The sequence below is a fragment of the Homo sapiens genome, chromosome Y, assembly GCF_000001405.40.
Source record: "Homo sapiens chromosome Y, GRCh38.p14 Primary Assembly".
Classification (NCBI taxonomy): Eukaryota; Metazoa; Chordata; class Mammalia; order Primates; family Hominidae; genus Homo; species Homo sapiens.
In genome coordinates, this window is record NC_000024.10 from 18471127 (window position 1) to 18495875 (window position 24749).

The following is a 24749-nucleotide window of genomic DNA, read 5'->3' on the forward strand; positions in this document are numbered from 1 at the left end:
AAATTAGGAATCTTCCCCTACGCAAGCCGTACCCCATGAGACAAGAAGGTCAGTGTGTTCTACAAAAATGTTTCTTTCCTCAGCTTCCAAGTGAAACGGGTGGTTAGCCAGACCCATTTGCAGACTCTTCCTTCACTTCCCTAGAAGTCCATTTCAGCAGCTTATGCTTGGGATATGAAGTATAGGAAAAAATTCTGCTAGTTCATCCCACCTCTATGGACTGTTGCAAAATATAACCAAAATATTTAACAACAAGGGACTGCTATGTGTGTTACAAAAATATCCAAAGATAAGACTGTTGCCACTAAAAATGAGGATTTCAAGAAACTTTTAAGGAAACAGAGAAATGCTCACACCATATAACTTATATTTAAAAAGGATATATGCACAGTATATATCTACATATTTTAAATGTAAAATATGCTTATGGAATGCATATTGCAATGAAAACACGTTGAGCTAATCCTGTTCCTAGCTGTTAATCCAAATATAAAGTATACTAACAAATATTTGCTGCCCAAATGAAATATTCAGGCATATCAATATAGTTTAAAGATGAAAGTGTTCATTCTCCAGTTGAACTATTAGAACACTAGTTTTATCTATATGTTGCCAATGTCCCACATCCAAACGCATTACAAACCCACTTGTTAGTTTAGGAACCTGTAAACCAGATTTATAAAAGAGGCCTATTCTTACTAAAATGTGTTCATTATATAAATGCTTTCTGCTCCTGTCTTACTGGCAGCTCAATTAATTATTCGAACATTCTCCTTTAAGTCGACTCAAATGTAACATTTTCTCAATGGTTTCAAAGAGACCGTAATGTTTCAGGGTAGAGTTTTGAAACCCAATCATTGGATGAATTTAAATGTGAACTACCTATTACAGGTTAGACTTCTAAAAGTTATGGAACAGATAAATCTAAATCCGATACTTTGAGTGTGCCCAGTACACCCACATTCATCAACATTTCATCTAGCTTTTTGGGCAGCTCATCTTGACTCAACAGACATGGGGAGCTAGTTGGATTAGAAGACAAAATGGTTACAGGTTACTTGGGGGGTAGAGGGAAGGTGAACGACTGAAAAACAACGCGAGATTACAGCTGTCGCATTGCATCCTGCCCCTCTTGGGGACCTACTTAGTACAGTCTTCCTGGTCTGAAGATACATGGCACATGCATTTGGTGGCCTAGCACCGGCCAGAATCTCCACCCCTATCTCGAGGGAGCATATCCAGGGTATCCAAAAATCTGCCCCCGGGGCTCTCGGCTGAAGCAGCCGGGTGCCGGTCTTCACAGCGGGACTGAGATTGTCTTTCCCTCCTTGGCCTGTCGCTTCAGGTAGAGGATGGAGTGAGTCGAAACAGGCATTTTGAATCCCTGTGGGAGTTCACTGGCCCTGCCTGACGGTACAGGCTGGTGCTATATCTCCACCCCTCCCTCGGGTAGCCCTATCAGATCTGCCACGCCCTGGCCGGCTCATCCACTCACTGAGAACTTCCAGCTGCAAGTTTCTGCCCTCCTGGGGTCTTTGCTTTGGTGGTTAACAGCCAAATATTCAGCTGACCCAGGGTTTCTTAATGGAGCCACTGTTGCCTTTTGGAGCCGGCAGATTCTTTGTTTTGGGAGGCTGTCCTGTGCTTTGTAGATTCAGCTGTATCCTTGGTCTCTATTTTTTCAATAGTACCTTCTCTTCCAAGCGAGACAACCAAAAGTGTCCCCAGACATTGCCAGATGAACTCTTGGAAGCAAGATGGCTTAGGGTAGAGATCCACAAAGCTAAATGTTTTTGAGTAGCCACCATTGTGTATTGTGAGGAAAGGCGAGCCTGACCTCATAATGTTTACATGTAAATAAAAAGAAAAGCAACCGAACCTCTCAGAAGCAATAATGAACACGTTACAGCCAGATAATTGAGCAAGAGCTAAGAAATATATATATATATATATGAATATATATCTTACGTAAGATATATATATATATGAATATATATCTTACGTAAGATATATATATATAAATTGAGTAATGAGTTTAAAGGAGAGGTGGTTGAATATGGAAGGGATTCAGATCATCTCTTGGAAAAAGTGTAAACTCTTCAGGGTCTTGATGCGTAGGATTTGGGTGGTGGGTCAAAAGAATAGCATGGCAGGGATGGGGAAAAATGAATAAAGTAATAAAAACCAACCAACCAAACAAACAAACAAAAATCTAGGCCCTTCTGGGGGCAGTGAGGAATCTACCCTGAGTCCAGAGTTGTATGCTGGGAATATAAGCCTGAAAAAGTATCTAAGTCCTGTGAGGACCAAATTTGATCAGTTTCAGCTTTGTACACAGCATTGAAGAAGTGTACAGTGAATTTTGATCACTGGCTGTGAGAAACTTAAAGTCTTTGAGAGGCAGTATGAGTGACAGGACTTCTTAGGAAGTGGAGAACCTATAGGTTTTTGGTGGAAATAATTGAGGAGGAGAGACTTAGTTGGATTTTAAAAAATAGGTAGGAGTTGCAGGCAGAATCAGGGAGAACATTCCAGGCAGGACGAGAGAAATAATAGTAGCTCTGAAGTGGATACAGTCAAAGTGGATTTGGGGAAGAAGAAACAATAAACAACTAAACTCTAGTGGAGGTGGAACAATAGGGCTGAGAAAAGACATGACCAATGTGAGAGTCTGCTTTGAATACCAGTACATGATCCTGTAGTTGAGATGCATCCAGGCTTTTGAATGGGATAATGAAATGATGAAAGCAGTGTTCTAAAAGTAGGTTGATAGCTTGTAAATGTTGTTAGGTAGTATCACCAGTCCACTGTAGAAAAAGTAATAATAATCGGCTGGGCATGGTGGCTCACACCTGTAATCCCAGCACTTTGGGAGGTGGAGGCTCAAGGATGACTTGAGGTCAGGAGTTCCAGGCAAGCCTAGCTAACATGGTGAAACCCGGTTTCCACTAAAAATACAAAAAAATTAGCGAGGTGTGGTGGCATAACATCTGTAATCCAAGCTCTCTGGGAGTCGGAAGCAGAAGAATCACTTGATCCGAGGAAGTGCAGGTTGCAGTTAGTTGAGATCACACCATTGCACTCTAGCTTGGGCAACAACAGCAAACAAGCAAATAAAAAGATTGTGTCTGAAGATCCCCTCACTCCCGACCGCACTCCCACTTTTGATCACACAGTTGAATATATGAATACAATTAGATAAAATGCTCTTCAAAAACTAGCATAACTTCTCCCAAAGGTGGGATAATTGCTTATAATATTAACAGAAAATTGTCACATTAGACACCTATCAACAGTGTTCAAACTGCCCCTCCTTATTGCAACAGACATGTACCATGCTAGATCAGGGACCCCAGGTCTATGGGATGACTGAAAACACTGCTGTTGGCAGGAAAGAACAGTTTTTCCAGAAGCTCTTCTGTAGAGTCTCTACAGAGGCCAGCTACAAAAAGGGATGTGTTTGGAACGACAGTCCATGAGTTTTGTCGTGCATTGTCCTGCAAATTAAACTAAGAGCAGGGACTTCCAAGTTCATTAAGCATGCTCTTACTCTGCCACTGGTGGTCTTCTAGCCACCCATTAGATTGTAGTTTTCAGTGACTTCAACTGAGCAACCCTGGGCTTGACCTATGTAACGGTTTGGAATAAGTCTGTCAAGTTCAGCCTCAGGTAGGTACTGTATTTCTTGAAATCCATATGAGACAAGGATAAATGATCACAGCATTCTTTCCTACATTCTTTTCTACACAGCATTCTTCCCCTTTTCTTTCCACACTTAGTCTCAGAAAATTTCTCAACCCCAGTTCATGGCAGTCAATACCAGTTGATTAGATTTCACTCATGAGAAGAAACTCATTTGCCATTCCAAGCCAAATTCCTTTTCCATTAGGCAGCTTATTGTATTTAAAGATAGTACTATGCCATACCCCGCTCCCCTTCCACCCCAAAAAGGTCTTCTCAGCACCATTTAAACATCCTCAGTTCCTTCAATTGCTTTTGTCTTCTTTCCAGAGCTTTCCCCAGCATAAATCTTGCCCTCCCCTCACCTATAACACACACAGGTCAGAGTTATGGATTAATTTACGATAGATTTCCAGAAATGAGTTTCTTCCACAAAGATGATATGATTCCCAGAACTCACTTTCTTCCCCTAAGAGAGCATGAACATTCTCCCCGATCTTGCTCTTAATACCACCTAGAATTGCCTTAGCTTTTTGACCAAACTCTCAGACTTTTATATCTTATAGAGCTTGCAGTAAGTTAACACTTTTCTTGATGTAGGTGAACTGTTCTTAATCTAGGTTTCCCTTGTCCTATTGTTGTACAGTTGATTTCTAATCCAAAGCACAGGGCTTTCTTTACTATTTGCTTAACTTCTATCTTGTTAATTGCATTCCACTCTCTTAGCCACAGAGATCATTTTGAATCCTAATTTCTGCCTTCTAGTGAATTCTAATAAATAAACCCTTGGTGTTATTTTTAAATGTGATAAATTGTCTTCATTCAAGTTATTGATTTAAATGCTTAGCTAGACTAAGTTACGGTCAACCCCAAAGCCTGAGATAGATATATATATATATATATATATATATATATATATATATATATATATATATAGTGTGTGTGTGTGTGTGTGTGTGTGTGTGTGTCATACTTCCACTCACTGGAGGCCTTTTAGCCTTTTGATTCTATACTCACTGATGTCTGGTCCCATGCGTATGTTGATTACTAGTTAGTGTATGTAGACTCCTTAAAGTTAAGGTATTGGGAGATCTCCTCATATCACCAAGTTGATTTCTTTAGACTTCTCCCTGTCAAAGACCAGGTTGCCCACCTATCAGAGACAGCTGCTGTTTCCGTCGCAAATAAGGGTCCTGGCTCCCTCTCATCAGCCAGCAAGCCCAGTTTCTTGTTATGCAGGATTTCTTCATAGGTAACTTAAAAAACTTCAGTAACTTCTCACAAAGTTGCTGTCGACCACCTGAACATAAACTTCATCATGGAGCCTCTGAAACCCCTGAGACATCAGCATGAGAAGTTTCAGAAGGCTCTTTGCTCTGTTGAGTCTACTTAACACTGAAATCTTGCCATGTCTGTCATTCTTGCATTTCAGCACTGTCTATGCTGCAGGCTATGCCACTACCCTCCAGTACCATTCAGCCAGCATTGAACACTTGCTGTGTACCAATTTCTGTATTAGTGGTGGGGATACACAGTGGAGAGGAACCACCCCTTTCTCACACTCTCATTTCCATATTGCTGCAGATATCTTCACCTTGATGCCTCATTGCCTCTGTGCAACAACTTATCTACAGTGCTTTGAAACGCATTCCCCCGGCAGATGAACTCCCTTTGTCCCCAGTCTCTTAAGATAATGTGCCTTCTACTCATTTGCTGACACTTCCTTGAGTTTCCTTCCTTTTCTCTCATATCTACAGGTTTTTCTGGCTTTGGCCTATTTTAGTTTCCTACTGCCACTGTAACAAATTATTACAAATTTAGTGGCTTAGACAAGTGTATCATCTTACACTTCTGTGGCACAGGAGTGCAACACAGGTACTTGTTGGGCTACAATCTAAGTGTGCTCAGGACTGTGTCCCTCTTGGATGCTCTAGAGGAGAATTTGTTTCCTTGTACTTTCTAGCTTCTAGGGGCCTCCTGCATTCCTTAGCTATAGCCCCATCCTCTGTTTTCAAAGCCATCAATATCACATTGCTTTTCCATTCTTCTGTGACTTCCTCCTGACTTTCCTCTTTTGCTTCCATCTTCTACCTTTAAGGCCATTTTAATGGCATTGATCAAGGTGGATCATCCTGGGCAATCTTCCTATCTTAAGGTCAACTGATGAGCAACCGTAATTTGTCTTTGTCATGAGCCCTAACATACTCACAAGTTTTACAGATTGGGATCAGGGCATCTTAGAAGAGAGGCCACATTCTGTTTGTTCCCCTCAGCTAGACATTTGGAAACTATCCTAGGTTCTCTTCTTGTCCTCAATTTCCCAGTGTAATCTGTCATCTAATTCTGAGTAGCTACCTCCTCAGGGTCCCTGGGACAAGTGTTCCTTGGAGATTCTTCAAAGGCCCCTATTTTGGAATTCTAACATTTTGTGGGTGAAGGGAAGGTGGAGGATGTCACAGAAATTTTATAAAACAAGTTGAAATTGGGCTGGGCATGGTAGCTCATGACTCTAATCTCAGCACTTTGAGAGTCTGAGGTCTGCAGATCACTTGAGGCCAGGAGTCAAAGACCAGCTTTGGCAATATGGCGAAACTCTGTCTCTCCTAATATTACAAAACTTACCCCGGCATGATGGTACATGCCTTTAATGCCAGCTACTCAGGAGGCTGAAGCAGGAGAATCCCTTGAACCTGGGAGGAGGAGGTTGCAGTGAGCCGAGATCGCTCCCCTGCACTCCAGCTTGGGCGATAGAGCAAGACTCCATCTCAAACAAACTAACAAACAAAGTAGGTTTAGTCTTTTCAAATAGTCCCATATTTCTTGGAGACATTGTTTGTTCCTTTTTATTCCTTTTTCTCTATCCTTTTCTTCATGCTTCGTTGCATTAAATTGATCTTCAGTCTTTGATATCCTTTCTTCCACTTCATCGATTTGGCTATTGATACTTGTGTATGCTTCATGCAGTCTTTGTGCTGTGTTTTTCATCTCCATCATGTTATTTATGTTTTTCCTTTAACTCTTTATTCCAGTTAGCAATTCCCCTGACCTTTTTTTGAGGTTTTTAGCTTCCTGGCATTGGGTTAGAACTTTCTTTCTTGCTCGGAAGAGTTTGTTATTACCCACTTTCTGAAACCTACTTCCATCAATTCCTCAAACTCATTCTCTATTCAGTTCTGTTTTCTTGCTGGCGAGGAGTTGTGATCCTTTGGAAGAGAAGAGGTGTTCTCGTTTTTGGAATTTTCAGCCTTTTTGCGATTTCTTTTTTCATCTTTGTTCATTTATGTGCCTTCATTCTTTGATGTTGGTGACCTTTGAATATATATATATTCAATATATATATATAACATTATATATATATAAATTTATATATATAAAATAAAACTTGAATATGTAGTATATATGTGTATTCCTATATAGAGAGGAAATCCTTTTAGTAGATGTTGATACTATGCCTTTCTGTTGTTAGTTTTCCTTCTAACAATCAGGCCCTTCTGCTGCAGGTGTGCTGGACTTTGCTGGCAGTCCACTTCTGACCATTTTTGCCTGTGTATCACTATCAGAGGATGCAGAAAAGCAAAGATTGCTGCCTGTTCCTTCCTCTGAAAGCTTCATCCCAGAGGGGCACCTGCCAGGTGCCAGCCAGAGCACTCCTCTATGATGTGCTTGTCAATCCCTGCTGGGAGGTGTCTCCTCATCAAGAGTCATGAGCTTCATGGACCCACTTGAGGAGGCAGTCTTTTGGAGATCTGCAGCTCTCTTCAGAGCCAGCAGGAAGGAAGGTTTAAGTCTGCTGAAGCTGTACCTACAGCCACCCTTTCCCCCAGGGGCTCTGTTTCAGGGAGTTGGAAATTTTGTCTATAAGCCCCTAACTGGGGCTGCTGCCATTCTTTCAGAGATGCTCTGACCAAAGAGGAGGAATCTAGGTAGGCAGTCTGGCTACAGCAGCTTTGCTGAGCTGCGGTGACTTCCCAGTGGCTTTGTTTATACTGTAAAGGGAAAAACCACCTACTCAAGCCTCAGTAATGGTGGACATCCCTGTCCCCACCAATCTCAAGCATTCCAGGTTGGCTTCAGACTACTGTGCTGGCAGCAAGAATTTCGAGGCAGTGGATTTTAGCTTGCTAGACTCCATAGGGGTGACATCCACTGAGCTAGACCACTTGGCTCCATGGCTTCACCCAATTCAAGGGAGTGAATGGTTCTTTCTTTCTGACATTTCAGGTGCCACTGGGGTATGAAAAAAAAAAAAAACTCTTCAAGCTAGCTCAGTGTCTCCCGAAACCTATTTTTACATTTTTAATCAAAATGTACATTTTTATGTCTTCTTACAATTTTTAACTTTTTACTGTTTTTATACACCTTGCATGAAAATTTATGTTTAGCACTTTCAGTTACATGTTATAATACTTTTATAATACATGTTATAATATACTTTTGGCAATTTTTACGTTAATGTAAAACCTGTTAAGTTTGTTTGTTTGTCTGTTTTTCTTGTAAATGTCAGTAATACTAAACCTTTCCTATGTGTACAACTGAATGATAAATTTGTACATTCACATACTTAACTATTAATGTTTGTTGGAAGCTGCATTTGCTATAAAGGTATTTTACGATAGCTCTGTTTTGTACTAGATGTCCCCAGACAATAGACAGAGACCCGGAATCCTCCTTCTGAAAGAGGACACTTATGCTGGGAAAGCACTTCATGTCCCCACGATTTCCTTGAGCTTATCCCATTGGTCCTTTGAGGAAGTGGACAGCAGTCTGGACTTTCTATGGTACCACGAGAAAGGCAGGAAAAGGCAGATCTTACCAGATGGCTGAATTAGTGTTGTCTTTTGGATATTCCAGTTGGAATTGGCAAAGGGACTGCCAGACTAGCGATATATGAGGAACAGAGAGTAAGAGAATGAGAGAGAGAGAGAGAGAGAGAGAGAGAGAGAAAGAGAGAGGAAAGAGGGAGCCAGTGTTAGGGGTGGATTCCTGAGACTTGAGGGATTTAGAGCCCTGGCCTGAGCCTTGCAGTTTCCTTCAGGTCAGTTGTCCTTCTCACACAAATCGCTTGAAGAGTAAAATGAGCAAAAAGATGGGGCAGGTGGCCAGAGACTCTCAGGATCCAGGAGTTTGCTTAGGATAAGCTGCCATTGCCCACAGCTTCCTGGGATGTAAGGGAGCCTCTGCCACCAATACCGGTCCTGGGTATCAGCAACCAATGTAAGGATTAAAGAAAGAGGAGAGAAACCTGAAGGGTAGCTTGACAGTCAACAGGGACAGGTTTATTTTTAATCAGTGTGAGAGGGGCGGCTGGCCAGGTTAAGTCAGAGCCACACTCTGTTAACAGACTAAGAGTATTCCGTGATTCAGTCTCACAGTGCTTATCAGAGGGTTGGACTGCCTCTGTGTCTCTTTGTTGTGGTTATCTGACAGAGAGTGTTGTGTGTCTGTTTTCATACAGCTTTCTAGAGTTGCAGGCATGTCCCCCATGTCTGCTTCTAGCTTCCGTATCTTAGTGCACCTGAAGGGAAAGGAATGTGCTTATTATTTGTAGTAAGAAGAGAAGTGATTTCCTTGAAATGCATGAGGCTAAAAAGAGAGCTGGAAGTTAATGTGGCAGTATTTGTTCAAGATGAAGGTGCTCCTGCTCTATCACTTTCTAGTCAGGTAATTGCACAGCTGTTAGTTTTGTTTTGTTTTGTTTTTTGGAGTAATTATATACTTAGATGTAAATTCTGTTGTCTGCAAATTCAAATCAGAAAATTTATATGATTCTATTTGATGTCTTTGCCATACACAAATGCATGCTTACATATATTATAACACCTGTGAGTTTTAAAAATTATTTTATGGTAATAAATAGTGATTTCTCAGCCCTCTGAAAAACAAGATTAAATTATTTTGTGTATTGAATATTCACAATTATTTAGGAAATCACTGAAGTTTATATTTTCTTAAATTTACTTTTCTACTGGTTAAATTGAAAGGTATTTTAGTAAGAAAACTGTAATAGAAAATTAAAATTACTGATAATATAAATCACTAAATGGTTTAAATTATTCTATTGAAGTTGTGGAAGTGTTGTTGTTGTTTTAATTATAGCAGCATAAAAATATACAATAAAATTTACCACAGCTCTTTATTTTCTCTCTCAAAGAGGAATTGTATTTAATCATTTTCTTTGTTAGATGTTTGCTCTTTATAAGAACGAGACTCTTTTTATTCAAATAGAAGCTGTTTTGTAATCTTGATTCTATTACACCAATGAATACTTCTTTTTCACAGAAATGCAACAACTTGAGCAAGAGTGATCAGTTACTAAGAGGAGTACCTAACGTCCTTAGAAGAAAAGATTCAGATCATAGGGATTTTATTTACAGAAATGTATTTACCTGTTTGTAATGTATGCCAGTTTAGGTAAGACATTTTCATGTTATATCAATGATGTTTTTATTTTTAAATATAAAATGAGAATCATTTTTTAATCAAGTTATTACATGTAATGTGTCCTAAAGTACAGGCAATATTCCATATACATATATACATATAGATACATATATATATATATATAAAAATGCATAGCAAATCTGTGTAACTTTAATGTATTTCATGTATTCTTAGGTTATTTATGCATTTGTTTTATTTTTCTGGTAATCTTTAAGATTAGATATTGTGCCCGATTGATGTTATCTTTCTCTCTCTTTTATTTATTTATTTATTTTGGAGATGGAGTCTAGCTCTGTGTCCAGGCTGGAGTGCAGGGACAAGATCTCGGCTCACTGCAACCTCCACCTCCTGTGTTCAAGTGATTCCACAGGCTTAGCCTCCCTAGAAGCTGGGACTACAGGTGTGCCACCACGCCTGGTTAAATATATATGTATATATATATATCTGTATTTTGTAGAGACGGGGTTTCACCATGTTGGCCAAGATGGTCTCAAACTCCTGATCTTGTAATCTGCACATGTCGGCCTCCCAAAGTGCTGTGATTACAGACTTGAGTCACTGTGCCCAGCCGATGTTATCTCTTAATGTTGCTTTTTGAAAAGTACTAACTTCCAGGTCATATCCCACACTATCTAAATCAGAATTTCTAGAACTTGGGAAAGGTATCCACATCCTTAGGGGATACCAATTAGTTGTTTTGCTTTTCAGGTTTAAAAATGACATCTATGAGAAACTTAGCGCATATGTATGCTTTTGTTAAAATAAAGAAAAAGAAATTTGGTGATAATGTAAATAAATAATTCACTTAAAATTTTTGTTGCTATTAGCATAAATTAAGAAATGCAGGTTTAAGTAAATGTCTCTTAGGGTAGTCTGATTTTCCTCACATCAGCCTATTGCACAGTAGTCCTAAAGGCATGGATAGATTGTCAGAAACGTACAACAAAAATATTTGTACTGTATTCAATGTTAGTGCAACATTTCAAAATTACTAATTTATGGATCTATTTAAAATTTAATTACTAGATAATATCTCAGTGATATTGATAAATATTAGGTCATATTTATATGAATGACTCAGACAATTAGCAGATCATTTTAAGTAATTTGTTTAAATTACAAATATTTTCCTATCAAAACTAATTTCTATGGTCACACATTCCTGTAATGAAAGTGTTATTTGTATTATTAATATTTACCTTCAAGAGGAAATACATTTTACCCTTTACTCTTCCTGCTCTAACGATCTCTGTGCTTTCTTTTCCTCAGCCTTGCCTGACTACCTCTGAGATGCTGGGATACTTTTAGTAGAGTAGGAGCATATATTATACAAACATAAACACAATAATTATTTTGAATGTAAAAGTATCATACTCAAGAACTCACAAAAATTTTGTCTTGCACAATTTAACTTGAGATTTTAGTTGCTTTTACAAAACCCATGATTGGTTTATAATATAACCTAAGTTTAATTTTAATTGAGGAAGTTCATTATACATTTATACATCTTAAGGCATTTAGGCAGTGTGTTTTAGGTATTAGGAATTTTTAAAATTTGAGAAAACTGAGTCAACACAGTTGCATCGCATCGTGTACCATTCCCTGTAAGGCCCCCAAAGTACCCAAGAATGAAACATACTAATGTTTCTATGACGAGAAATGAATATTCCCTTTATGGGTGAAGACTTAAATAGCTTCCCTCAATTAAGTCTTTATTACATCAGAAATTGAGTTACATAACAACCTTATTTTTAAAAGCCTTGCTTACTTGAGCTTTTCGAATTTCAGATAAAGTATTTTGAATCCCTCCTAATTATGATTTTGAAAATACAGTACTGAATAAACAGTCCAGGTGGGATAATATTAAAGGATTGTAATAAACAAACAAACAAACAAAATACAGAGGGCTCTGCTGCCTGTTGTAGGGAGTATGTGTCTTAAATTTGGAGAGTAAAAAGCACTTGCAGTAGAAAAGGGTTGCTTTGTTAATTTTTTTTTCTAAGTAGTTAGTGGGTACAGACTTAGTATTGACATAACTTGGCTTTTCTAGCATTTATGTGAGATATTCACTGTGACTTGATAAACCATTAGAGAATCACAAAAGGCATACATTTGTAACAACTCACAGGCTATAGCATAGAAAGTTTCACAATAGACCACAGTAAGGAAGTATTCAAAATTATCTGTATAAAAACTTTGTGGGTGCTCTATATTACAAAAACGGCAATGCAGAACATATGTGTGGACAGATTTATGAGCTCTTTATGAGTTAGTATAGTCAGGTGTCGGTAATTGGATATTTGAGGAAGTGGAGCAGGAAAGAGACAACACCTACGCCCCGGATGTGATTTGATAAGCTGAAGGAATAGTAATGCAATTTACTGACAGAAAAAGGAGAACCTCTTCGAGCGGATTGCATTTTAGAAACATATGGGAAACCAAATAAAAAATTGTAATGGGGAGTTGGATACATATGTCCAGAATTTGGAATCATCTAAAAGGATACATGTGTTACTATAGATGTAATAATGAAAAAAGTCATTGGAAGGAATGTCTTAGAATGGAAACTTTTTTTAAAAAAGTTAATGTTAACATGGTAGATAACATTAAGTTATCTAAAAGCAATCCGTAGCCTCTAAGTAGTTTAAATTAGTATGTAAGAAGAATAATTTCTTTCTTTTTCTTTTTCTTTTTCTTTTTTTCTTTTTCTTTTTTTTTTTTTTTTTTTTTTTTTTTTTGGGAGAGAGTCTCGTTCTGTCACCCGGGCTGGAGTGCAGGAGGACAATCTCGGCTCGCTGAAACCTCTGCCGCCTGGGTTCAAGCAATTCTCTGGGTCAGCGTCCTGCGTAGCTGGGATTACAAGCGCCTGCCACCACAGTTGGCTAATGTTTAAAAGAGATGGGGTTTCACCGTCTTGACCAGCCTGGTTTTGAGAAAAATCATAATTTTAAAAAACTGTGCTTATGCTAAAAACAGATCCTTAGCATTCTTCCAGTATTCTTAGTTGTGTCATTTGCTTTAAAATAAGCCTAAGAATTGCACCAGAATTAGCTGCACAACTCCGCCAGGAAATGCAAAGTTTTATTGTTATAGGATTCTAGAAACAATCATATTATATATCTGGAAACTCTATACACACATGCCCACACACACAAAAACACACACAATTTTCACTGAATAGACATCATAATAAGCACACTGAAAACCTAATAAAGTTATTATAAAGCTGTAGAACACAATGATTAAAAGCAAATGATAATCTTAAATTTTAAAGAACTGAAAATATTAGAATTTAAGAATTAAAATGTTCTAATTGTTCTTTGGTCCACTATCATAGATTTCAAGCAGATTAATTAATGTAGTAGAATGACATTAATAGTTCCTATCAATGGGATTTAATTTATACCATTTTGAAAATAGTTTGTTGTCATATATTGTTTACTGTGTGACTTCTTGTATTTGCTCTAAAGTAAGGCTAAATCACATCTTAGCCTCATCTCATCCAAGGAAGTGATTACAGTAAAGGTATCCATGTTGGGTTAATGTGTAAAATAGTGGTTGTGGATTAATGTGGGTTTGATGTAGGAATTTATTATTCTCCTTATTAAGATTAGCTTGAAATGTACTGTGTGACGAATATTTAGTCTATTCAATAAGTGGTATTCAACAGATATATATCAACAAGTGCTATGTACCAACCACTGTTCAAGGTGGCAGATAAAAATATAGGCAAAGATAATATTAATCCAAATTGCACATGAAAACATTTGATACTATTGATAATGTGGCAGATGAAATGATTTTCACTTTATTATAATTTTTAAGAGAATGAGATAATTAAATGTGTACTGTAAGTGTTACAAGAAGCCTATCCATGTTATTCTTTACTGAAATAATTAGATTACAAAAATCACCTTTTTCAAAAGAAATTTATATTATAAATGCTCCCATGGCAAAAACAAAAAGCCTGGTCTTTGACTTGGAATATATTCTTATTATATAAAGTAAGATACATGGCAGAGAGAAGAAAAAACAATTTTATTCATCTGTCCTGGTAATGACAAAAAAGACAGAAGTCATATTTTTTTTGCAATTTTAGATTGGACTCCTAAGAATAGCAGACAGTTGGCAGTGTAAATATGTTGTAAATTAGCTAGCCCTGAAACAAAATGACTGATCATTAGCAAATCGGGCAACTTTTATTATTGCCATTGTAAGTTGCTTTACCTATCATGAGTGTGCTCTTATACTATTAGAATTGAAATCTATTCTGTACTGCCAATTTATATCCCTGTTTTATAATCTTGGGATTCTTGCTTTACATTCTAAAATGTTGTCTCTGAACAATTAGTGAATATCAAGTAAGTTTTTTATTTTTTTTAAAGGTAGTCTTAAAAGTCTAATGATCTTTAGTGAAAATAATGAGGAGATTTGGATATGGTGGTTCATTTCTGTAATCCCAAGTAGTTGGAAGGATGAGGCAGGAGTATATTACTTGAACCCTGGAGTGTGAGGACTGATTGAGCTATGTGCTATCATCATGCCACTGCAGTCCAGCCTGGGCCACAGAGCATAATCTGAATAAAAAATAGAACTATAAAAAGTAATATAGCATTGCTGTTTTTAATTCACTTGTAGTAATGCATAGATAGCATATTTAGCCAAAACGTTTTAAACTGGTAATATGCCAAGAGGTCAGATGTTTGAGTCAGATTGCTAGCTAGCTCCTCAACTGGCTAAATCTGTAGTATTTTGCAAAGTATTTCTCCTAAATGTAATTAGTTTTTTTATTTGTTAAATGGATTTACTAATGCTACCTGCTTAGGAAACTAACTCTGATATTAATTAGTTTACCTCAAAAACTTGTTCTGAATGACATATATTAGGCAATAAAATATTAGCTACTACTTGATATTACAAATTCTTTTCATCTGTTTACTTTTAAAGCTCATAGTGAGCACAATAAAATTCCAGAAGACCGATGATGGCTGTTAGATATAACAGAACGCTCTGAGAGTCACTATCAGAAATGAGCATATCAGTGCATAAAATGTATGGTAGCTTTATTTAGCAGCTGTTTCATTGTTTACCATAGCATTTTTTCTTACAATTTTGTAGAAGCCTGTGTCAGAATCAAGAAGTTTTTTTTAGAAGATGATAATCATGGATGATTGAAATCATACTGAAAATTATTCTAAATTCTATTATATTTATAGTTGTATTTTCTTTCAAAGGATAATGGAAGTCTTAAAAAGAAAATGGATACTTCTCTGCCAGGGGAGATACTGTGATCATGAAGGTGGCTTTCCCAGGGCAAGGCTGATCTATTGCATTCTGGATGTGCTGACTCCTACGATTTCCCCAAGTGTGGGAAACTCAACTGCATAATTTGTGGAAGTAATGACTGTGTTTGCACTTTCACGTGGAAAAAGAAAAGGAAAGGAAAGGAAAGGAAAGGAAAGGAAAGGAAAGGAAAGGAAAGGAAAGGAAAGAAAGAAAATTGACTCGTTTAGTGGATATAGAAACTTGAAAGAAGACCATATACTGGAAACAATTCCATGTGTCTAAAAAATGGTCTCCTCCAGTACACAAAAATAAAACATCAAATGTTTATTTCTTAGAAAGATCAAATAGTGCTAGGATGACACTTACAAAAGCTTTCAAACTTTGGATGAGTGGGCAGGGGGAAGCCCCCAAAGGGCAGCAGATAAATCTGGGAAAAAGAGAAATAATTTTTAAATGTGTAAGCCAATGTTTATGTATTAATATTGCCCTTAAAAATATTTATTTTATTAAATGGTTAGCATTGGTTTGTTTGGTCTTAGAAAGTATTTCCTTTTGGAAATGACTTGTGTGAAATGGTCTAGAAATTATGTAGCTAAAATAATTCATATTTTTCCCTGTATTACAAATCATTTGCAGGCATTGCAAACATATTAAAGATGCCAGCTTTTTTGCACTTCTTAACGTTTATTCTAAATGAAGAAAATTAAATATAAGGTACAAAGTTACTTTTATAATCAAATAAATCAGTCTTTTTAAATATTTAGAATTTGAAGCCAGATGACAAAGATGCCTTAGATGAGCATAAGTCCTCTCCAACAGAATATGCTCCATTATATCCTCATCCAACAGGCTTTATGTATCAATAGGTAAATAAATAAAGTTTTTATTTTTCTTTTTTGAACTCATTTTCATCTTTACTTACGTGGTTTTCAATTATTATTTTCTTACATATTTTGTAACGTATCAGCTGTGACTGTAAATTAAGAAAAACATTATCTAGGGCAGCTTTGGCAAGATGATCAGAAGAAGAATGCTTCAAGTGGGGTCATGTTTTATTTTACCCTTTTGATATTTTGTTTGTAATTAGGTACTACCTTGTCCTAGTTCATAAAAATGTGTCATATTTCAATAAGATCATAAAGTAATTTATTTAATCTCTCTCAAAATCCAGTGACAGTAAAAATTAACAATTTTACGAGTTTTCATACAAAATTTACCAAAAAACAAATACTGACCAAAAATATAAATAAAAACCATTTCTGAGCACTTCTAAGTTAAAACAAATATTTTTATTAAAATATTATGGGAAGACTAGACACGACGTGAGTAATGCACTTTTCTCTTTCTTTCTGTCTTTCTTTGTTTCTTCCTTTCTTTCTCTCTTTCTTTCTTTCTTTTCCTTTCTTTCTTTCCTTCTTTTCCTTCCTTTCTTCTTTCTTTCTTTTCTTTTTCTTTTCTTTTCCTCATTCTCTCTCTCTTCTTTCTTTCTTTTCTTTCTTTCTTTCTTTCTTTCTTACTTTCTTTCTTCCTTTCTTCCTTTCCTTCTTTTTTTCTGATGCAGTTTCACTCTTGTTGCATGGGCTGTACTGCAATGTTTGCGATCTTGGCTCACTACAACTTCCACCCCATGAGTTCAAGCGGTTCTCCTGCCTCAGCCTCCCAAGTAGCTAGGATTACAGGCATGCACAACCACGTGTGGCTAATTTTGTATTTTTGGTAGAGACAGGGTTTCCCCTTGTCAGCCAGGGTGGTCTGGATCTCCTGACCTCGTGATCCACCTGCCTTGGACTCTCAAAGTGCTGGTATTACAGGTGGTGAGCCATGGCACCTGGCTAAGTTAATCATTTGAAAGGTTTTCTTGTGCTGTAACATTTAGCATGACTTCTCACCAAGTTCATGTAGCCAAGGGATGGAATCACCCAGAGTAACAGCTTTATTGCTCAGAAACCTTATTTTTTAAAACCAGAAAAATGTAAAAAACAAGCAGATTATAATTCTACACGTTCTTCACCTTTAATATAGTTTAATTTCTTGTTGAGATAAGGAATATTGCCATATGTTTAATAGAAATTCTAAAATATTAAAACCAACATGAACACTTTTCATATGTCACAATGTGTGGAGCATGGTAGACTGTATTTTTTTTTTTTTTTTTGGACTGGGGCACTTTTGTGATAGAATTTACTAAGTGATGCTTGTGATGCTTTTAAAACATGGCTTCATCTAATTCCAGTGAAGTGCATATTATCAGAATCCACAGTATTTTGAATTACCAGTGTGCCAAGATTTCTGACTGCTTTGCTACCCAGTCACAATTTTCCTTGAAAGCAGTAAGGCTCGTAGTTTATTTCTATGTTATTTTAAAGTGTTTGTTGTTAGAGGTAGGGTTTACTGAAGATATAAGCTCCTTCCGATTTTAAATAATTCATACAATTTTTTTCATTCAATATAATATCTCTATGCCCATTGTTGGAAACAATAGGATATGAAGTGTGTTGCACAGTGTGAGGAACAGCAATTCGTTTGTTTGAACTGGTTAGAATATACTATGTTTTTATCTTTTTATAGTATGTAAACATTAGCATTGAACATTATGAATGCCAAATGCAGTCTACATTAGTCAAGACCTATAAATACACTATCAGGGCTACTGATATTGGTACATTGTAATCCAACTATGTCATGGGCCTTCCTATTTGGCCTATTGTTATTTGCAGTCTACATTTCTCTCCAGGCCTAGACTTAGATTTGGGAATTTCTGTTCCTTAAAGAGTACAAAAGAAATAAGTGTAGATTAATTCTATTCCTGCTTTACTGCTGCACCTCTATAAGGTTGCCATCTCAAGTGAATACATCATGATGTCCTGGTTCTAATCACCTTCCAATCATCCTGGAGAGGATTCTTCAAATGGGAACCAACATGTCCTTTTTTAATGTACCCCTTAAATTTGTACTATTAAGAAGATGCCAGGATGTGACTCAGCCCATTGAAAGTCCATGTGTCACATACAGGCTTCTGTTTGAAAGTCCAGTTTTCTATTGTTCACATGGCCAGGACGTTGATTACTATTTACTACTCATGAATTCAAACAATTGCCTTTATAAATCATGGTTTAATGTTTTTAATCCTTTATTTAAAAAGAAAAAAAACAGCATGCAGTTCAATCATTGAGGTAATTTGCTCATTCCATCTTCAATTGGTCTTTTTATTTCTGGTCTCTGTGAAAGCCTGCCAACAGGACATTGTTCATCCACCTTGAAACGGCCATTCATCAACCAAGCAGGTTGTTGTTGTCAATAGGGAGCTCTTCAAAGGGCATTGCCCATGTGACAGTGGGATCCAGTAATTCCTGAGGTGGTTCCAGACTACATGCTAGAAAATTCCCTACTACCTGCTCTTGAACAGGATGAGCAACTCCTTGCACTTCCCTGGTAACGTTTTTCTCCTATAAAGCCATTTTTTATGTTATCTTGGAAGTGTTCTGAGCACTTCCTCATTAGACTGTTTCCTTACTTTGCCCAACACGTTATAGGTGTTGCAAGTTTTATAATTATTTTATGGTCTTCAGTCAAAGAAGCAGGCAAGGCAAGCTAGTAATTATCTTTCCAATGGCACGTATTATTTCATGGCATCCAGGAGTGCCCTGGACCACAATTTCCAGCTAATGCTGAAGAGGGGCATGTGTGGGTTTTCTCTCATCACCTTAGTCTGCCCAAGAACATGTGCCAGTACTTCTAAAATCAGAATTTGGATCACAAAGCCCCAACGTGTGGAGAGAAAGAGCTTTTTACAATTCAGAAGTGGACAGCTTTAGTGAAATTTCTTATTTAAATAGACCATTATTTATTGTTTCTTTAAATTGATGCATTATAATTTTACCTATTTACAAAGTAGAACTATTATTTTGATACATGCACACAATGAGCAATGAGCAAATTTTTAAATGGCTTATTGGTAATTGGTATATTAGTCATTTCAGACATATATGACATATTTGTTTCAAGAACTTTCCAAATCTAAACTTCTAGTTATTTTGAAATCTGTAATAAGTTATTCATACCTATAGTCTCCCTTCTATACAATCAAACTTTAGGACCTATTCCTTCTAACTTTATTTTTTACACATTAACTAGCTCACTTATTTGTTTGCTCAATGTCTTTCACAGCCTGTAATAATATGTCATGCTATTCTCTACCTCCATGAGATGAAATTTGTTATTTCTGAGATATGAATAAAAACATGCAATCCTTGTCCTTTATATTTTTTGGCTAGTTTCACTTAATACTTGTCCTTTAAATGAAGGCTTTTTTCTGACTAATGTTTAGTTAATGTATTGAGGTTTTTATACAACTGAAATAAGCACTCACCTAAAATTTCTCTTAACTGTTGCCAAAACTCTCTGGGTACATAGGATTGCAGTTTGAAAACGGCTAAATGAACAAAGATGTCTTGAAGGTGTCCTAGGACATTAATATTGTACGATTTTCTATCTCCTGTCTTACTTAACTCTGGTTTGTCTTCAAATTAATAAAAATATTCTAGTAAATTATCTTGGGGATCAACATTAAAGACCAAAAAAAAAAAAAAAAAATCAGTAATGCACTAGTTTAACTTTATAAATATAAGGAAAAAAGTTGAAACAAATACCAAAAGTTACTGAATAAAATGAAATACATTTTTATACTCTTAATTTTAAAAGCACTTTATTTACTTTTTATTTTTTACTATTATTGCTTATTTGAAACATGAACTGTTATAACTGGGTTCACGGAGAAGTTATCATAAAAGAGTAGCAAAGAAATAACATACACTGCAGGTAATATAAAATAGTAAAATTTTGTCAAGTATGCAGGAGTGAAGACAAATGAGTCCTCTTCTACTTTGGGGGAATACGTTACATAGGGTTTGTAAGATGGATTCAGTATCTTTTTTGAGAATAATGCATTTTCCAAATTACATAAGATTATTTACTTGAGGAGATCAGTATTATTAAGACTCAATAAATATGCCTATTAACCGTAGTTGTGGAAGGAATGAGAGCATAGACAGAAGCTCTAAAATCAAAACATGATTGTAGCCATAGAGCAAAATACAGTTGGTTTACAAGTGTCTGAGAGGTTTCTGTATGCTTTTCATTGTGTCTTAGGTTTGTGATGAAGAAATAAACAATGCCCAGTTCCTGCCCTGGAGAAGCTCATTGCATAGAAAAAGGAAAAAGGCAGATATACATGCCACAGTACAGTGCTGAGACAACATAAATCACAAGCAACCAAGTACAAAGGTAAGATATGTAATTTGAAATTTTATATTCTGTTTCTATTGCTTCTTGCTGTTGTGAGTAGCCATCTCTATATGTGTTAAATTCAACACCCTAGGGGTAACACGGACTATGGTACCAGAACTTACATTCCAATTTTTCTTCCAATAGTGGCTGTTAACCAAGTATTGGTGAATATCCTATATGAAGATTCTGCTAAAAGTAAAGCTACCCTGACTGCGATGCATGGATGATACAATTTACTGCGTCTAGGAAAGAGAAAGAAAGTGTGTGGGCCGGGCGCGGTGGCTCCCGCCTGTAATCCCAGCACTTTGGGAGGCCGAGGCGGGCGGATCACGAGGTCAGGAGATCGAGACCATCCCGGCTAAAACGGTGAAACCCCGTCTCTACTAAAAATACAAAAAATTAGCCGGGCGTAGTGGCGGGCGCCTGTAGTCCCAGCTACTTGGGAGGCTGAGGCAGGAGAATGGCGTGAACCCGGGAGGCGGAGCTTGCAGTGAGCCGAGATCCCGCCACTGCACTCCAGCCTGGGCGACAGAGCGAGACTCCGTCTCAAAAAAAAAAAGAAAGTGTGTGTTTTGTAATTTCCATAAATGATAAGTGTTGATACACTAGTAGCTGAAAGACAAACTATTTCTGCCCACTGAAAGGAAAAAATGAAGAATTATAGGAAAACCATTTACTACAGTTAAACTAGACTGATTTTTAAATTTACCTTCTGTCGATATCTATACAAAAAGTAAAATAATAATAATAAAGGGCTTGAGCATAAACATTACCAAAATTTATGTATTCCATGTTCACTTATTTGGAGGTATATCCTAAATAGGTGATCTGCTGACCTAACTTCTTTACGCTTTATTATAAAATGAATACTTTTCATAGGCAGTGTGATCATAATTCTTAACTAATATTTTTTACAAATTCACATAGCATAATATGAAGAACAAATTTGTTTCTTTAGCAGAAAAAGCTTTCATTTGGGAAAAATATAGAGAGAATTTTAAAAATAAGCACAGCTTCTGAAATGCAAATAATATAAATATGTCAGTTATAGTATCTCAGAGATTTTAGCTATATTATGAAAACATACTTCCTACATGATTATTTTAAAGCACAATAATTTCAGAGACAAAAGAGTAGCTGCTATCAGAATCTTCAAACACAGTAACAGAAATTAATAATTAGAATTTACCTCACCGTTCTGCTTCTCATCTTCAAAAAATCATTGTCTATATTTTTACCTATGCATTCAATTGCGAGAACACTGCTTCCAGTGGAATATATATATATATATATATATATATATATATATATATATATGTGTGTGTGTGTGTGTGTGTGTGTGTGTGTGTGTGTGTGTGTGTGTATAGCTGCTGGATCACAAAATTCATGTGATAGGTGGCACCAGCAGTTTGAGTCCCACAAATATTTCTGGTGGGTGAGATCTAACAGAGTGCAGATATTCCCCCTGAAAAAGTGCTTCACAACCTGAGATAACAAGAAAAAATAGTGCTTGTACTATGAAAATAATAACTCTGCCTACTCTTCTTTCCGTCAAGTGACAAATTAATATTAACAACAACTCATTTATCAACACTGCCGTTTTGAAAGAGTACTTTAGATTTTTATATTAACAACAAATCAAGTGACTATTATAGATTTTTAACTTCAGACCCTTTAGGTCCATATTTTAATGACATAACATCTGTTTGTTTAAAAAGGAAAGTATTTGTTTAAAAAAACCTCTTTTGAATATACATATAACTATGTCAATTCAATTGTTAAATAAATTAACATACAAAGTGTTTTTAAAAAGAAAACTCTTCTCTCTACATGGTTGCCACAAGACAAATAAAGATCTGATCTTTTAAGCAGTGAGTTTAGTACAAAACTCCTACAATGTGCTAGAAAATATGCTCACACAGAGAAAAACATAAATATAATTTCACATTTATCAATTAAAGTTATGTACAGAATGCTGTTGTTAATTGTATTCTAAAACCTCAGTTTTCTCTTGAAATAAACTAAATTTTGTTATCATTTGTTAATTTACTTATATTACCTCCCACCCTGAGTTTCAGTTCCATGTAAGATTTGAACATTGCTACTTACTTTGCTGTACTGACGTGGATATTTAGAAGTAATACAATGCACCCCAAAGTTCTCTTCTCGTATTATGAAAGTGGGTTTCATTGAATTACTTTCAAAGTAAACTATTATTAATGAAGAAAAACAGCTTTATAATTTAAAAACTCACTAGTTACTGCTTTGTCTATGTAATATATTGCATTCAATCAGTCTACTATCTTTCTGAGGTTCTTTCCACAGCCCATAGCTAGTGCCACAAGTAGATCAAAACCAGGATTGATGGCAATGGTAGAGCTACAGACTGGAAGAGCTGGCTCTGCTGGCAGTTCTTTACTTCTTAAATACTACAGTTAAACTTGATGCAGGGAAGAGAACAACATCAATTAATTCCTAGTAAGTTAGAAAAAGAAATCACATGTTATTAGTAGAAAACATATGTTAAGAAAAATATGTCTTTTCAAGAAAATACTTTTATGTTTATTTGACATAAACATCTCATTATATCTTGAAACAATTTTGGATTGTGTTCCAAAGAAAAATCATTTAAAAAAAACCGAGGACAATCAATAAATGTAATTCATTTCCAAAATTAGATTTTTGAAGAAATTTCTAAAACTTGAGAGTTTTACCCAAAAGAAAAATAACATTCTAAATTAACCTACTCTTTTAATTACACATTAATGGAAGTAAATTTATTTTCAAAAAAAGAAAATGCATTAAAATTACGTTATTTTTCTTGAATTATGAGACATATAAACAAAGTCATCAAAAAGATGATATAAAAATAAGTTTTTGCAAGATGGATGTTTTCTCAATTAGAAATTCAATCAAGGACAAGGCATGGTGACTCATACCTGTAATTTCAGCACTTTTGGAGGCGAAGGCAGGGAGCATACTTGAAGCCAAGAGCTTGAGACAGGCCTGGCCAATATGGTCAAATCCCATCAGGTGTGGTGGTGCTCACCTTTAATTTCAGCTAATCAAGAAGCTGAGGCAGAATAATCACTTGAAACTGGGAAGCAGGGGGTTGCAGTGTGCCAAGATTGCACTGCTATACTCCAGCCAAAGACACAATGTGAGATTCCTTTATAAAAATAAAAGAAAATAAATTAAATCAATTAAGAATTGAGATATACTGCTTATTTACTTTTCAATGCAGTTTGTGGCAACTCTGAACTGCAATTACAAAAATGTCCTAAATAAAGCGCAGCACACATTTCAAAGTTACTATAACCTCACCTCTGCAGAAAGAAAGCTTTTTATTTTTAAATGCTGCTCCTCTTCCTGTGTCTATGTGTCTTTAATGTTCAATGTGAACATTGTTGATTGTGAACATGTACTGCTTGTTTTTGTTTTTAATTTCTGTGTTAGTTTGCTGAGGATGATGGCTTCCAGCTTCACCCATCTCCCTTCAGAGAACATGATCTCCTTCTTTTATTGGCTGCATATTATTTCATGGTATATATGTGCCATGCTTTCTTTATCCAGTCTGTTACTGATGGGCATCTGAGTAATTCAATGCCTTTGCTACTGTAATTAGTGCTGTAACACACATACACATGCACCTATTATTAGAATAGAATGACTTTTTTTTGAAGGGGGGCTATATACCCAGTAATGAAATAGCTGAGTCATTTGGGTTTAAGCAATTGTCCTGCCTCAGCCTCCTGAGAAGCTGAGACTGCAAGTGCCCGCTACCATGCCCAGCTCCTTTATCTTTTTAATTATTGTCACATCAAATCTAGAACTAAGCATGTGAAAAGAAAACTAGGTATGAGGAAAATGAAAAGCAAACCACAATGAGAGATATAAATGTATATTAAATAGAATGGCCTGTAATCAGAAAGAAATGACAGATGTTTGTGAATATATGGAAACATTGGGAAGCACATCCAAATTGCTAGTGGGAATATAAAGTGAGGTTGCTTCTTTAGAAAACAGTCTGTTTCTTAAATAATTTGAGTACATTT

The 24749-nt window shown here is 36.2% G+C and overlaps 1 long non-coding RNA gene and 3 pseudogenes across 1 annotated transcript in view; 3 read left to right on the forward strand and 1 right to left on the reverse strand.

Moving 5' to 3' along the window:
• On the forward strand, positions 9961-16274 carry USP9YP14 (USP9Y pseudogene 14; annotated as a pseudogene).
• LOC124905304 (uncharacterized) overlaps positions 12915-24749 on the forward strand; it is a 33826-nt gene continuing 21991 nt past the window's right edge. The window contains exons 1-5 of the long non-coding RNA XR_007068457.1: positions 12915-12955; positions 15357-15519; positions 16173-16274; positions 18637-18840; positions 20557-20691. This is a non-coding gene — a long non-coding RNA (uncharacterized LOC124905304). The remainder of the gene's footprint in view (positions 12956-15356; positions 15520-16172; positions 16275-18636; positions 18841-20556; positions 20692-24749) is intronic.
• On the forward strand, positions 15285-15646 carry RNU1-48P (RNA, U1 small nuclear 48, pseudogene; annotated as a pseudogene).
• On the reverse strand, positions 19788-23169 carry USP9YP5 (USP9Y pseudogene 5; annotated as a pseudogene).